We start from the raw sequence: 14,173 nt of genomic DNA, 5'->3' as shown, positions 1-14,173 counted from the left end.
TGAAAAAAACTGTATTGCTGCTATGGAGAAAGTTTCAGTGGTCTGGATAGAAGATCAAACCAGCCACAACACAGCCTAATCCAGAGCAAGGCCCTAACTCTCTTCAATTCTATGAAGGCTGAGAGAAGTGAAGAAGCTGCAGAAGAGGCTTGAAGCTATCAGAGGTTGGTTAATGAGGTTTAAGAAAGAAGAGATCTCCATGCGCCGGGCGCAGTGGCTCATGCCTGCAATGCCAGCACTTTGGGGGGCTGAGGTGAGTGGATCACGAGGTCAGGAGATCAAGACCATCCTGGCCAACACGGTGAAACCCTGTCTCTACTAAAAAAATACAAAAAAATTAGCTGGGTATGGTGGTGGGCACCTGTAGTCCCAGCTACTCGGGAGGCTGAGGCAGGAGGATGGTGTAGACCCGGGAGGCAGAGCTTGCAGTGAGCCGAGATGGTGCCACTGCACTCCAACCTGGGTGACAGAGTGAGACTCTGTCTCAAAACAGAAAAAAAAAAAAAGAAAGAAGCCATCTCCATAACATAAAAGTGCAAGGTGAAGCAACAGGGCTGGTGGAGAAGCTGCAGCATGTGATCCAAAAGATCTAGTTGAAATTATTGATGAAGGTGGCTCCACTGAACAACGGATTTTCAGTGTAAGCAAAACAGCCTTCTATTGGAAGAACATGCCATCTAGCACTTTCATAGCTAGAGAGTAAAAGTCAATGCCTGGCCTCAAAGCTTCAAAGAAAAAGCTGACTCTCTTTTTAGGAGCAAATGCAGCTGATGACTAAGTTGAAGGCAATGTTCATTTACCATTTCTGAAAACCTTAGAGCCCTTAAGAATGATGTTAAATCTACTCTGTCTGTGCTCTCGAAATGGAACAACAAAGCCTAGATGACAGCACCTCTGTTGACAGCATGGTTTATTGAATATTTTTAGCCCATTGTTGAGATCTACTCACCAGAAAAAAAGATTTATTTCAAAATATTATTGCTCATTAACAATGTGCCTGGTTACCCAAGAGCACAGATAAGGATGTACAAGGAAATTAATGTTGTTTTCATGCCTGCTAACACACCATCCATTCTGTAGCCCATAGATCAAGGAGTTATTTTGACTGTCAAGTCTTATTATTTAAGGAATACATTTTGTAAAGGTATAGCTGCCATATATAGTGATTCCTTTGATGGATTTGAACAAATAATTTGAAAACCTTTTGTATATAATTTACCATTGAAAATAATATTAAGAATATTCATGATTCATGGGAGAAGATTAAAATGCCAACATTAACAGGAGTTTGAAAGAAGTTGATTGCAGTCCTTATGGAAGACTTTGAGGGATTTAAGACTTCAGTGGAGGGCAGTCACTACAGATGTGATGGAAATAGCAAGAGAACTAGAATTAGAAATGGAGCCTGAAGATGTGACTGAATTGCTGCAATCTCATGATGAAACTTGAACCAATGAGGAGTTGCTTCTTACGGATGAGCAAAGAAAGTTTCCTGAGATAGAATCTACTTCTGCCGATCATGCTGTGAACATTGCTGAAATGTCAGCATAGGACTGAAAATATTTCACAAACTCAGTTGATATAGCAGCAACAGAGTTTGAGAGGAGAGGATTGAGTTCAATTTTGAAAGATGTTCTACTGTGGGTAAAATGCTATCAAACCAAATCACATGCTACAGAGAAATCTTTCAAGAAAGAAAGAGTCAGTTGATGGTGGCAAACTTTGCTGTTGTCTTATTTTAAGAAATTACTGTAGCCACCCCAGCCTTCAGCAACCACCATCCTGATCAGTTAGCAGCCATCAAGATCAAGGCAAGAAACTCCACCAGCAAAAAGATTATCACTTGCTGAAGGCTCAGATGATTGTTAGCATTTTTTTTTTGAGAAGGAGTCTCACTCTGTTGCCCAGGCTGGAGTGCAGTGGCGTGATCTTGGCTCACTGCAACCTTCGCCTCCCAGGTTCAAGTGATTCTTGTGCCTCAGCCTCTCAAGTAGCTAGGATTACAGGTGCCTGCCACCACGCCTGGCTAGTTTTTGTATTTTTAGTAGAGATGGAGTTTCACCATATTGGCCAGGCTGGTCTCGAACTCCTGACCTCAGGTGATCTGCCCACCTTGGCCTCCCAAAGTGCTGGGATTACAGGCGTGAGCCACCAGGTCCAGCCGATTGTTAGCATTTTTTAGCAATAAAGTATTTTTAAATTAAGGTATGAGCATTTTTTATAGACATAATGGTATTGCACACTTACTGGACTATAGTATAGTATAAACATAAGATTTATATGCATCGGGAAAGCAAAAAATTTATATGACTTGGTTTATAATAATATTTGGTTTATTCTGATAGTCTGGAAGTGGACTGGAAATATCTCTGAGCTATGCCTGCCCATTAGTTTCTTGGTAGCTGTCTTGGTTATCAGGTTGGAAAAAAAAGTGTATACTAAGTTTGGTACTTTCTGTGGTTTCATGCAGCCACTGAGGGTCTTGGAATGTATCCCCTGCAGATAAGGGGGAACTGCCATCATCTGCTAAAGACCACAAGAGTTTGGGCTACAGTGATGGAGCTCACTCTTGAGTAAGTTATGGGAGAGTTCGGTAAAGTTGTTTTCTGTGAGGATATTTTAGGAAGTCCTAGATCTATTATGTTGCCTCAGCAAGATAAGAGGTGTCTCATTGGGTATAAGCCCAAATACCTGAAAGGGCCTAGGAAGGTAATTTAAACGAGACTGACAGCCCATTCCCAGTCTAAAGGAGTCAACATGGCTTCAGTCAGTTGTTGACATATGGGAATACAGTGTGAAAGCAAAACTGGAGGCCCATATTATTAAATTTGAAATTTCCCAGTTTTAAAATAGTGGCCATTTATTTAAAAAAAGTTTAAATACTTTGTGTGTGCTAAATAATCATTAAGGACGCTTCCAATACTTGCTGTTTAACTCAGTGGTCCTAAAGCAGTAAAAATAAGCAAAAAAATCACTAAAATTCGTATAGCCGTTTTCACTTCCCTTCATGTTACTTAGGTATAGAGCAGTATATTTTAAGGAATTGTTCACTCAATATGTACTCAAACCAGTTGTGTTCTCTCCATCCCACTCTCCTACCACCAGCTCAGGCAACTCCACATCTTCAAGAAAACAAAGTATAGCTCCAGCCTCACAAAAGATTGAGGACCTGGCTCTAACCTTTCTAGTTAAACCTGCTTTGTAAAAATTCGCTTCCAACTTCAAGGAAGAGCTAGTTCCTAAATTACTTAAACTGCTACTGTTCATTCTTCAAGGCTAGCATTACTCTGATACCAAAACTTGTTACAGACAAGCACAAAAATCAGTAACAATGGACCAATTTTATTAATTATAAATACATTTTAATCCTAAATAAAAGATTAACAAATCAAACCCAGCATGGCTTTCATTTGATCAAAAAATAATAGAACATGACAAAGCAGAGTTTATTTCAGAAATGTAAGAATGTGTTGAACACTAGGAAATCAATGAGCATAATTCATTATATAAAAGAGTCAGAGTAAAAAACAAATATAGTGATAGAGGCTAAGAGACAGTTGGTAAAATTTTGCACTCTTTCCTGATTTAACAGCATGTAGTAAAACAGGATAGAAGAAAATTTCTTTAAAGATGATAGTGTATTTTCAGAACACCAACTAGCAGGCGCAGTGGCTCACGTCTGTAATCCCAGCACTTTGGGAGGCTGAGGCGGGTGGATCACCTGAGGTCAGGAGTTCGAGACCAACCTGGCCAACATGGTGAAACTCCATCTCTTCTAAAAATACAAAATTAGCCAGGCATGATGGCATGTGCCTGTAGTCCCAGCTACCCGGGAGGCTGAGGCAGGAGAATTGCTGGAACCCAGGAGGCAGAGGTGGCAGTAAGTCCAGATTGTGCCACTGTATTCCAGCCTGGGCGACACAGCGAGACTCCAGCTCAAAAAAAAAAAAAAAGAATACCAACTAGCACTAGCACCAAATGGGCACATGCTTGCCTTACTGCATTAAAGCTGGATATCCATTATCTTGTCCTGTAGTCTTAAACATTTTTCTGATGTTTTGACCAATGCAATAGGAAGAAAGAAACGCATTATTTGCAGGTGATAATGATTGTCTGTGTACAAATTCATAGAGATGAGCTGTCAAGCTATTAGAACTAACAAGACATTTTTTCATAGTGTGGTAGGATACAAGGTAAATAAACAAAAGTCAATAGCTTTCCTAAATTACAGCAATAAGAAATATCTCACTTACAAAAAAACTATAAAATATCTAGGAACAAACTTCCCAAGGATTATGCAAACCTATGTGATTTTTTTTTTTTTTTTACAGATGCTGATGCAGATCTGAAAAAAAATTGTTAATGCATCTAAAGATACAGAAAACAAGTATTTCTGAATGGAAAGACCCATGATATTGAAAATTTTGAAAAAGAAGAGAATTAGGAGAGGTTCCTTTATGAAAAGGCAAATATATTAAATATGTAATGATTATAACTGTGGCATATTTTAGGAATAAGCAGATAATTAATAGAGGAGAATGTTCAGAAACAGATATATACGTGTATGTATACCTATGTATATGTATATGCAAATTTAGGTTGTAATTAACAGTGGCACTTCAAAGTAGTGAGGAAAGAATATTCACTAAATGACATGGGGGCAACTGGTCAACCATTTGGCAAAAATAATCTCTTAGTAAACTATTTTATTTCCAGGAATTAATTCCAAGAAGTAAATGGACAAATGTGAAGAAATGCCTGTTGAAGGATTTTTTTGGGATAGTGAAAAATAGAAAACCACTCAAACGTCTATTCAGTAGATTATTTCAAATGTGTGTGTCTATTTGTGTGTACGTAGTATACGCATAAGTTATGGAATGCCATGAGTCTACTTTAAAATATGGCCGGGTGCAAGATGGCTCACACCTGTAATCCCAGCACTTTGGGAGGCCAAGGCAGGTGGATCACCTGGGGTCAGGAGTTCGAGACTGGCCTGGCCAACATGGCGAAAACCTGTCTCTACTAAAAATACAAAAATTCGCGGGACGTGGTGGCGCACATCTGTAATCCCAGCTACTCAGGAGCCTGAGGCACGGGAATCGCTTGAACTCGGGAGGCGGAGGTTGCAGTGAGCCAAAATGGCGCCACTGCGCTCCAGCCTGGGCGACAGAGCGAGGTTCTGCCTAAATAAATAAATAAAATGATGAAACAGATTTAAACTTAATGGAATGGAAGGATAGCCACATAATCTTTAAAGTGAAAAAAAAATCAGGTTCTAAATCTATAGGTATTCTTTGATTACATTTTTTTCAATGTGTAGAGGCATAGAAAAGTCCAGAAGGATCTATAATGAGCTGTTTAATTTTCATTTCCTATGGGGTAGATCCTTTGTTGCATGGAAGATTATTTCACTCTGTTAGCTCTCTTTACATCAGTAGGAATACATCCTCATGGTTTTAAACATCTTGAGGGAGCTTTCCTGACACTCTACTCTAGGTAAATATGCTCGCATAGCACTCTCTATTCACCATATTACCTATAAATCATATTGCACTTTTTAACTTTTCTAAACTACTTTTTGCTTTCTTTTCTAGATTATAAAATCTTGAGGGCAGGGATAGTATGTAAAGGTTCCCTTGTGAGCAAATAACCGTCACTTATTGAACTCTGTGTGCCAAATACTGTGCTAAATGCTTTCAATAATCTCACTCATAGGGAGATATTACTACCATCTCCATTTTGAGGATGAAGATATTGAAAGATTATGAAGTTTCTCCCAAATGCCATTGCCAGGCCTGTGTGACTCTTGGTCGTTACACGGTGATCAATAAAAATTTGTTTCATAGGAAAGAAATACAGCCAGCCGTGGCTTTAAGATCACTGGGTGATACAGTTGGACCAGAAACCCTTTAAACTCCTTCGTCAGACACAGACTCGCAAGCCCCGCCCAGGACGACCGCCCGCGCGCGTATGGATAAGCGTGCAGGGGCGGGGCGAGCTTGTAGGAGTGGGGCGGAGACAGATCTGACTGGCCAACGTCGGGCGGAAGTCGGGAGGTTGGGTGGTCTGTAAACGCTGGCTTGTGACAGGGAGGGGGAGGAGGAAGGCCTTCGTAAAGGTTGCATCTCCGTCCCTTCGCTCCCGGGGACCCGCGGGAAAAAAAAAAATCCAACACCCAGGCCCCGCGGCTAGCCCCTTCCCACAGGCTCTCTCCGCTCGATTTTGTCACCGTTATGTGGGAAGCGAATCCAGTGAGTAGCCGGGCGGGACGGGGCGGGCCCAGGGGGCGGGGTTGATGAGAGAGGGGCGGGAGGGGGTCACCGGAACTGCTTCCCCGCGCTCGCTTCAGTCTGGGTGTTGAGTTCCGGGACCGGAGTTCCCGGGCCTTTTGGCTTCTGTAGTCTGTACCTTTTTAAGCAGTGGAAGTGCCTGGGTGGATTCTCCAATGCTTTATTGTTTTCTTGTTACAATTATTTATTTTACTTCCCGTGATGTTTCAGCCTCATCCCTTCACCATTTGTTGTTGTTGTTGTTTTTGAGACGGAGTCTCGCACTGTTGTCCAGGCTGGAGTGCAGTGGCGTGATCTCGGCCCACCGCAACCTCCGTCTCCCGGGTTAAAGCGATTGTCGTGCCTCAGCCTCCCGACTGCCTTCACTGTTTTTTGAAACTTTGTGTTTTGCTTTCTAATTGGAGTAACTGGCCTTGGAACCTGTAGTCAGTCATTTGCCTCAGGTTTACCTGCCAGTCCCACCAGTCTAAAGCAAGGGAATTGGGACCCCCTTGTCTTGAATGGGCCTAAGAGGAGCCATCAGTTCTCCTTTTCCCTTCTTGGTGGACAGTCGTTTAAAACTTGGAGTATGGACTGTATGTTCTTAGATGTTTTCGTTCGGTGGACAAAGTGATCTGGAGCATTTCAACTGCAAGTCTGCCTTCTTCCTTGGCTGACTCTGGTATTTTCATTATGACTTCATGTGTCTTTGTCTACTTTGCTTTTATACATTTATTTATTTAAAGTGCAACGTAGGGGCCGAAAACTTTAGTACCTTTCCTCACCACCCATTGTAAGGATCACAGCCACCACTCCTTAAAACAGAAGATAGGTTAACAAGGTAAAAGCAGAGCAAATCTAATCAAAGTTTTACACCACCAGGCACTTCAGAGACCAGGGAGATCTCTATTTTTATGCGTAGGACCCATGAAGAATAGACAACTGTGTAAAAATGTGACTGGACAAAGGATATACTCTAATGTTAATAAACTGAGGAAGGAAGCCCAGCAAGGTCTGTTTGTTCAGATTCTTCTTGGCCTCTCTGTGTATCATTTCTTCCTCCTACGGAGGAGGAAGGTCCCTTCTGGAATGAGGGTCTTAGCGACCTACTATCAGGCAAGGTAGATTAGAGAATTTCTTTATGGCCAGTTCCTATAGACAATGGCAGGGAAAGCTTAATAGTTCCAGTTTTTATGGCTTGCTTTGTAGGAGAGGGATCCTAGTTTCTATCACTCACCTTGGGGAAGAATTCTGGTTTCTGTGACTCACTTCTGGGACGAAAGATGGGCAGGAGACAGAAGGGCAGGAGATCAGAGGGAGAGACTGCTTCCGAGGCTGCTTCTGAGGCCTTCCAATCTCTTTTAGTTCAAAGTATTCAGCATGCCAAAGTGTCATACTTCGGGGTAGTATTTTCTGAGCCCCAACACAACCCTCAGAGAGTGGGATCTATTTGCCAAGAGTATTCTTCTGTTGTTATGGTTGAAACTGCCTGGTAAGGTGGCAGATGTATGGTATTTAAAACTTAGGAGTTGACTGGAAAAATGGTAGAATCACATTTCAGCAAGTTGTTGGACTAAATACAGTCGTGCGCCTCCTAACAATGGGGATATGTTCTGAGAAGTTCATTGCTGGGTGATTTTTTTCATTGTGCCAACGTCATAGAGTGTACTTTCATAAGCCTGCTACACACCTAAGGCTATATGGAATAGCCTATTGCTCTTAACCTAGAAATCTGTACAGCATAGTATTGTACTGAATACTGTAGGCATTCGTAACACAATGGAAAGTATTTATGTATCTAAACATAGAAAAGATACAGTAAAATAAAGTGTTAACAATCTTTGGGACCACTTGTATATGCGATCCATGGTTGACTGAAAGCTTTTATGCAATGCATAATTGTGTATGAAACATAAGAAACTACTCCTATGCTGAGATAACTGCATAAATTTACTTTAATAACCCCTAATTTCCATATTTGCAATAATTTCCTATAATCAGTATTCTTCCCCTCTCATTTCTGGAATATATTTCCAGATAAGTTAGAAAGTTTATCAGTACATTTCCCTATGTTTTTAAGTTAAGTTTTTATCCAGTAGAAACTAGTCTGTTGGTCTGGATTTGGTAGTTGCACATTATGGTTCCTTCTTGTGCATCATATAACAATAGTCATCATCTTAGTATTTTCGATTCATACGTATAATACTCTCTTCAAGCTGCATTAGAGGAAAGTAATTACTTGTATTTGATTTTAGCAAAAATAATTTAGAATAATGAGAATGTGCTCTCTGCTTATATATTCAGTTTCACTATCTGTCATCAACAACCTTCATTTTGTATTTATATCTTTATGTAGCTATTATTCCCTTTTTGTTATCAGTCCTTCTTAATTTTTCCATAACAAACCCTTTAGCCACCCAAGTATATGTCTTACTCAAGGTTTTAAATCTTTCACTATATTGTAAGATCCACAAGGACAGGGGTTTTTCTCTGTTATTTTTCCTATAGTATCTTCAACTAGAGAACAGAACCTGACACATAGTAGGCACTCAATAAATATTTGTTGAATTCATGATGGTGGTTGTACCAGCAAGGACTAAAGATAATTCTTTGCTCCTACTATGAATTTTCCCTCCTGCGTCACACATACATCAGAATTTGCTGTTGGATTATTTGTGTGTTTGTGAGAATTATAAAGGCATTAATGAATGTCTTATATACTTGATTTGTTATATCATTATCTCATTTCTTTGTAAGCAATGGGTTTTCTTTGAAATCACCTGTGTGATTTTGCTAATTTCAGCAGAGCAGGCTGACTTTTGTTAAAAGTGGGGAATCCTCCACAGATCATCTCACATTCTTCTTTTGCCACCCAAATAAGACATATTTGTCTTACTGCTACTGTATTTTATTACTACTAATAGTTTTTCTTCCTATAAGCATATGAATGATATCAGTAAGCGCAATTTGGTTTTAAAAATCAACATTCTACGTGTGGGTTTCTCTAGTAATTTGTTAGTTTATTTTAGTTTCGCTTTCCTGGTTTCACTTACCACAATTTCACTTACCAGAAGTCAGCTGCGGTCTGAAAATATGAAATGGAAAATTCCAGAAATGAACAATTAATAACTTTTAAGTTGCATACTGTACTGTGTAGTGTGATAAAATCTCATGCCATTGTGCTCCATCCTGCCTGGGGCCACGAATCATCCCTTTGTCCAGCATATCCACACTGCATATACTCTACCTGCCTGCTGGTCATATAATAACATGTAATGTCACTCACTTATTTATTGAGCACCTGTTATAAGCTAGTTAGTGCGAAGTCCCAGGGTTTACAGTGGTGAACAGAACAGACTAGGCTCCAGCCTTTATGGGTTTGCAGTCTGGTGCAGGCAGGCAGATATTAAACAAATAATTATGCAAATACATTTAATTTAAATTGTGATAAAAAGATATGAAAGAAAAAGAGTACTATGACAGTGTAGGGGGAGCTAATACTAGACTGGGCAATCAGGAAAGGCCACCCTGTGAAAGTAACTTTTATAGAGATCTGAAGGATTGAGCAAGCGTTAGCCAGGTAAAGGTTGGCTGGAAGGTGGGGAGAGCTGTTCAGACAGCAGAGATAGTGTGAGCAAAGATCCTGAGAAAGAAAGGAGCTTGGTGCTTGAGAAAAAGAGAGAAGCCTATGTGGCTGGGACACAGTGCACCAGAAGACAAGCCCAGGAGGTAGGAACCAGGCCATGCATGGATTTGAGGCACATGTTTAGGATTTTGAACTTTATCCTTAGAGGAGTGGTAACACATTGAAGGAAGTGTCATGAACATATTTATGTTTTTAAAAAGATTACTCTGGCTGATGTGTGGAAAATGAGTTTATGTATTAGAAAATATGGTAGACGTAATAATGGCCTCCTAAAGATATCCACATATTAATACCCAGAATCTGTAAATATGTTGTTACATGGCAAAAGGGAGGTAATTAGCTAATCAGCTGACCTTAAGATAAAGAGATTACCTTGGATTATCCAGGGGGGCCCCAAAGTAATCGCAAGGGTCCTTAAAAGTAGAACATGGGGACAAAAGACATGGAGTGACTATGGAAGAATGGTCAAAGAGATACAACATGGCTGACTTTGGAGATGAAGGAAGGAGGTCACAAGCCAAGGTATGTGGGTAGCTTCTAGAAGCTTGAAAAACCACGGAAATAGATTCTCTCATACAACCTTTAGAAGGGAATCAAACTCACCTTGATTTTAGCCCATTGAGATGCATGTAAGATTTCTTCAGAAATGTAAGAAAATAAATTAGTGTTGTTTTTAAGCCACTGCGTTTGTGGTAATTTGTTCTAGCAGCAAAAGAAAATACTGAGGGGGATAAGGGGCTGTAGGAAGACTAATTAGGAGGTTATAGTGTAGTCCAGGGTAGAGACGAAGGTGACTTGGACTATGTGGGGAAAGTATGAAGTCACCTATGAAGGTGACTACTAAGTGGGGAGAGAGGAGATCAATTCAAGCTGCATCTTAGATGATGACTTAGCTTTCTGGCATGGGCAGCCAGGAATAAGATGTTTTCACTGAGCCATATGGAAGATAACAGGAGTTTGGTTCTGGACTCACTATGTTTAATGTGCCTATGAAGCATCAGGTAGTAAAGTTTGGAAGGCAGTTGGTTAGGGAGGTAAGTCTGGAGCTCAGAGAAGAAGGCTGGGCTGGAAATTGAAATTTGAGCCTCAGTGTCTATAGGTAGTCTGTCACCCAAGCTGGAGTGCAGTGGCATGATCTCGGCTAACTGCAACCTCTGCCTCCTGGGTTCAAGTGATTCTTGTGCCTCAGCCTCCTGAGTAGCTAGAACTACACATGTGCACCACTACACCTGGCTAATTTTTGTATTTTAGTAGAGACAGGGTTTCACTGTGTTGGCCAGGCTGGTCTTAAGCTCCTGGACTCAAGTGATCCACCCGCCTAGGCCTCCCAAAGTGGTGGGATTACAGTCGTGAACCACCGTGCCTGGCCCCCAATAAAACAGTATTTTAGAAATTAATGTTTTTATTATCATTGAGAAGGATGATTTTTTTTTTGCAGCTTCTTACAAAGTACTTATATCTAATTTGATAATAGTTTGAGATGTAGGTTAGACCACATTTTGATTACTCTGTATGTCTACTAAATTAGGAAATGTTGTGCCACAATTATAGATTGTCAGGAATTGCAACTTGTGTTTGCTGGCGCTGTCAGATGTTTAGGAATATCAAGGTCAAATACAGACTGAAAAATTATCGGAAGATTTCTCCCTGAAGATTATATCTTGTGCTCTTTCAGTTGCGTTATTGAGAAGCCTGTAATATTAGGGTGAATGTTTCAACCAGCCTGAATGTTTGGAAGATAGTAACAAATGGATTCTTAAGTCATTTTTTGACTTCTTCAGTATCTGGAAAGTATTTTCCCATGTTTTGTTTTAACATTTAGTCATGTTCTTTATACACACAATAGTGTAATCAGTCTCACTCTAAGAAGTGAAGAAAACCATCAGGTTTTGGGAAGGAATCACATCCTAGCAATTGAGCCATTTGCAACATAGCTTGGTGACTTTGAAAAATATGGTATTTTATTCTCAGCATTAAAAATCAGGGTATTTTGGCCCTGAAGTAGTAGGTTCACGCTATTTAAAATTCTAGATATATCTCTGCTATACTCCACTTAAGCAGGCCTCTAGAAAACATAGAATTACTTTTTGGTATTGTCAGCATTATGAAGAATTTTTTTGTTTTTTAAAATCTCATCCCTCATTTCAGAAACTTGTCAGCACCTTTTTTCCTTGACAGCCAGCAAACTTGCGTGGGAAGAATAATCTTGCAAACGCTGCCATTTCCTTCTGCAACATCTGAGAGCGCATACTCTGAATAGTCAATATTTGATGATGTTTAATTTCCATTATTTCCTTCAACACTCAGTTATAATCAGGAGGCATATTGTTGACTCCTGTTTCATATAAAGAATCTTTTAGTAACATAACAGTGTATGTTTTTGCTATTTGTATACTTCATGCTCTGTCAATTTTGAATGTGTGGCACCTTTTTCAACTTATGTCATAGCTCACAAAAGTATCATTGTCTAAATAAAAACTGTCTTCCCTGTACTATAAGTTTTCACTGATATGTAGAACAAAAAGTTGTTGAGTACTTTTACCTTATATACTGTATATGTGTCAAGGACTGATTTATATTTTCTCCACAGGTAGTTTGTCCAATTGTAAAACAAAATATATGCTAAAGCACTCAACATGACAGTAATTGCTCTTCTATATTGTGTTGCATGATAATATAGCATGATAATATATGACATCCAGTAGAATCATTTAATAAAGAATTTTGGTCAATAGCTTGTTTCTTCTCAGGCATTAAATTTGAATTGACTAGCTTCTCAGCAGTATCAAGAATTTTTACCTGTTTTAGCTGAGGAATGCGTCTTTTCTCTTGGTTTCTTCTTTGTCCTTATTAACAAAGCAAATGGACTTTGTGCTTTGTGTGAAAAATAATCTGAAAGTTTACTTGAGTTTTATAGTACTATATTTAAGTAAATGCTAACTATGGCTGATATGAATGTATCAACAGAGAGTGAATATAATGGGATATTATAGTGAATGGTAACTTTAAAGAAAATAAAGTGATTTTCGTACAAATTATTAATCTTACATTTCAACTTTTCAAAATGTATGTAGACAAATTTATTTCATTACTTTGCCCCTGAAAATGCCTGTGAAATATCTCATAATCCCTGAGGACCGTCTTTTGAAGATTCTGAGAGAAAACAAGAAGGGCTAGGACTGAGCCATGAGAAACTCTAAAAGTTACAAGCTGAGGAGAAGTCAAAGTGCAAAGGAGACTGAGAATTTATGGACAAAAAAATAAGATGATCTGGAGAGTGTCATGTCATAGAAACCAAGAGAAGAGTTATTCAGGACAGAGGATAAACTGTGAAATGTTACCGTGAGATAAGTAAGATGAGGACTGAAAAGAGCATAGGATTTAGTAATGTGAAGCTCATTAGACATCCTAGGAAGTGTCTTTTGTTTGTTTGTTTGTTTTTAAGTGATGATGGGTAGGAAAGATTGGATCAGAAGCTAGAAAAGTTAAATTGGAGTGGGTGTTAGCATAGAAACTGAAGAAATAAACATAGTGTGTAGACAAAGAGTTACAGTTAATAAGCCACCAAAGGAGACAAGATGAAATCCTAAAAGCACTCAATCTGAAAGAAGATAGAAAAAAAAGAGAACAAAGAACAGGTGGGACCAAAAAAAAAAAAGCAAATAACAAGACGTAAACTTAAAGCTAACCATATCAATAATCATACTACATGTAAATGGATCAAACACCCCAATTAAAATACAGAGATTTTCAGATTGGATTAAAAAAACAAGACCCAAGTATAAGTTGTCTGTAAGAAATACAATTTGAATATAAAGACATGAATAGAATAAAACTAAATAGAGAAAGATACACAGTGCTAACACTAATGAAGAGAAAGTGTGAGTGGTTTATTGTTGTTAAGGTAGATTTCAGAGATAATGATATTATCAAGGATAAAGAATGTCATTTCTTAATGATAAAGAGATCAGTTAACCAGAAACAATCCTAGATATTTTAGACATCCAATATTAGAGCTTTAAAATACATGAAACAAAATTAATAGAATAGCAATAAGAAATAGAAAGATACCCAGTTAACTGGAGATTTCAGTAGTTTTCTCCAAATAATTGATGGAATGAGCAGATAGAAAATGAGCAACAGTATAACAAACTTGAACACCACTGTCAACTAACTTGATCTGCTTGGCATTTATGGAACAATTCACCCATCAACAGCTGAATACATGGGTTTTATTTTTTTCCAACTACATAGAGAA

General features: G+C 39.0%; 1 protein-coding gene and 1 long non-coding RNA gene across 7 annotated transcripts in view, besides 3 other annotated features; one reads left to right on the top strand and one right to left on the bottom strand.

Annotated features, from left to right (window-relative positions):
• PARP11-AS1 (PARP11 antisense RNA 1) overlaps nt 1-9,291 on the bottom strand; it is a 40,211-nt gene extending 30,920 nt beyond the window's left edge. The window contains exon 1 of the long non-coding RNA NR_183432.1: nt 7,507-9,291. This is a non-coding gene — a long non-coding RNA (PARP11 antisense RNA 1). The remainder of the gene's footprint in view (nt 1-7,506) is intronic.
• Nucleotides 4,575-5,094: an enhancer, noted in NCBI's record as "H3K4me1 hESC enhancer chr12:3983535-3984054 (GRCh37/hg19 assembly coordinates)". NCBI's record gives its function as "activates a minimal SCP1, AML or CMV promoter by ChIP-STARR-seq in primed H9 embryonic stem cells {active_cell/tissue: H9 hESC(primed)}" and the evidence as "EXISTENCE:reporter gene assay evidence [ECO:0000049][PMID:30033119]".
• Nucleotides 5,095-5,615: an enhancer, noted in NCBI's record as "H3K4me1 hESC enhancer chr12:3983014-3983534 (GRCh37/hg19 assembly coordinates)". NCBI's record gives its function as "activates a minimal SCP1, AML or CMV promoter by ChIP-STARR-seq in primed H9 embryonic stem cells {active_cell/tissue: H9 hESC(primed)}" and the evidence as "EXISTENCE:reporter gene assay evidence [ECO:0000049][PMID:30033119]".
• PARP11 (poly(ADP-ribose) polymerase family member 11) overlaps nt 6,064-14,173 on the top strand; it is a 64,539-nt gene continuing 56,429 nt past the window's right edge. For all 6 annotated transcript variants that reach the window (NR_104461.2, NM_001286521.2, XM_047429175.1 and 3 more), the window contains exon 1: nt 6,064-6,251. Coding sequence is in view for 3 of the 6 variants with exons in the window: in XM_047429175.1 (XP_047285131.1) it covers nt 6,234-6,251 (18 nt within the window). In the remaining 3 variants the exon portion in view is untranslated. The remainder of the gene's footprint in view (nt 6,252-14,173) is intronic.
• Nucleotides 6,287-6,396: a silencer, noted in NCBI's record as "silent region_4143". NCBI's record gives its function as "represses an Ori minimal core promoter by ATAC-STARR-seq in GM12878 lymphoblastoid cells {active_cell/tissue: GM12878}" and the evidence as "EXISTENCE:reporter gene assay evidence [ECO:0000049][PMID:35858748]".

The sequence above is a fragment of the Homo sapiens genome, chromosome 12 (assembly GCF_000001405.40).
Source record: "Homo sapiens chromosome 12, GRCh38.p14 Primary Assembly".
NCBI classification, from domain to species: Eukaryota; Metazoa; Chordata; class Mammalia; order Primates; family Hominidae; genus Homo; species Homo sapiens.
Note: the sequence above shows the minus strand (reverse complement) of the source record. Positions and strands in the feature narration are given on the sequence as shown.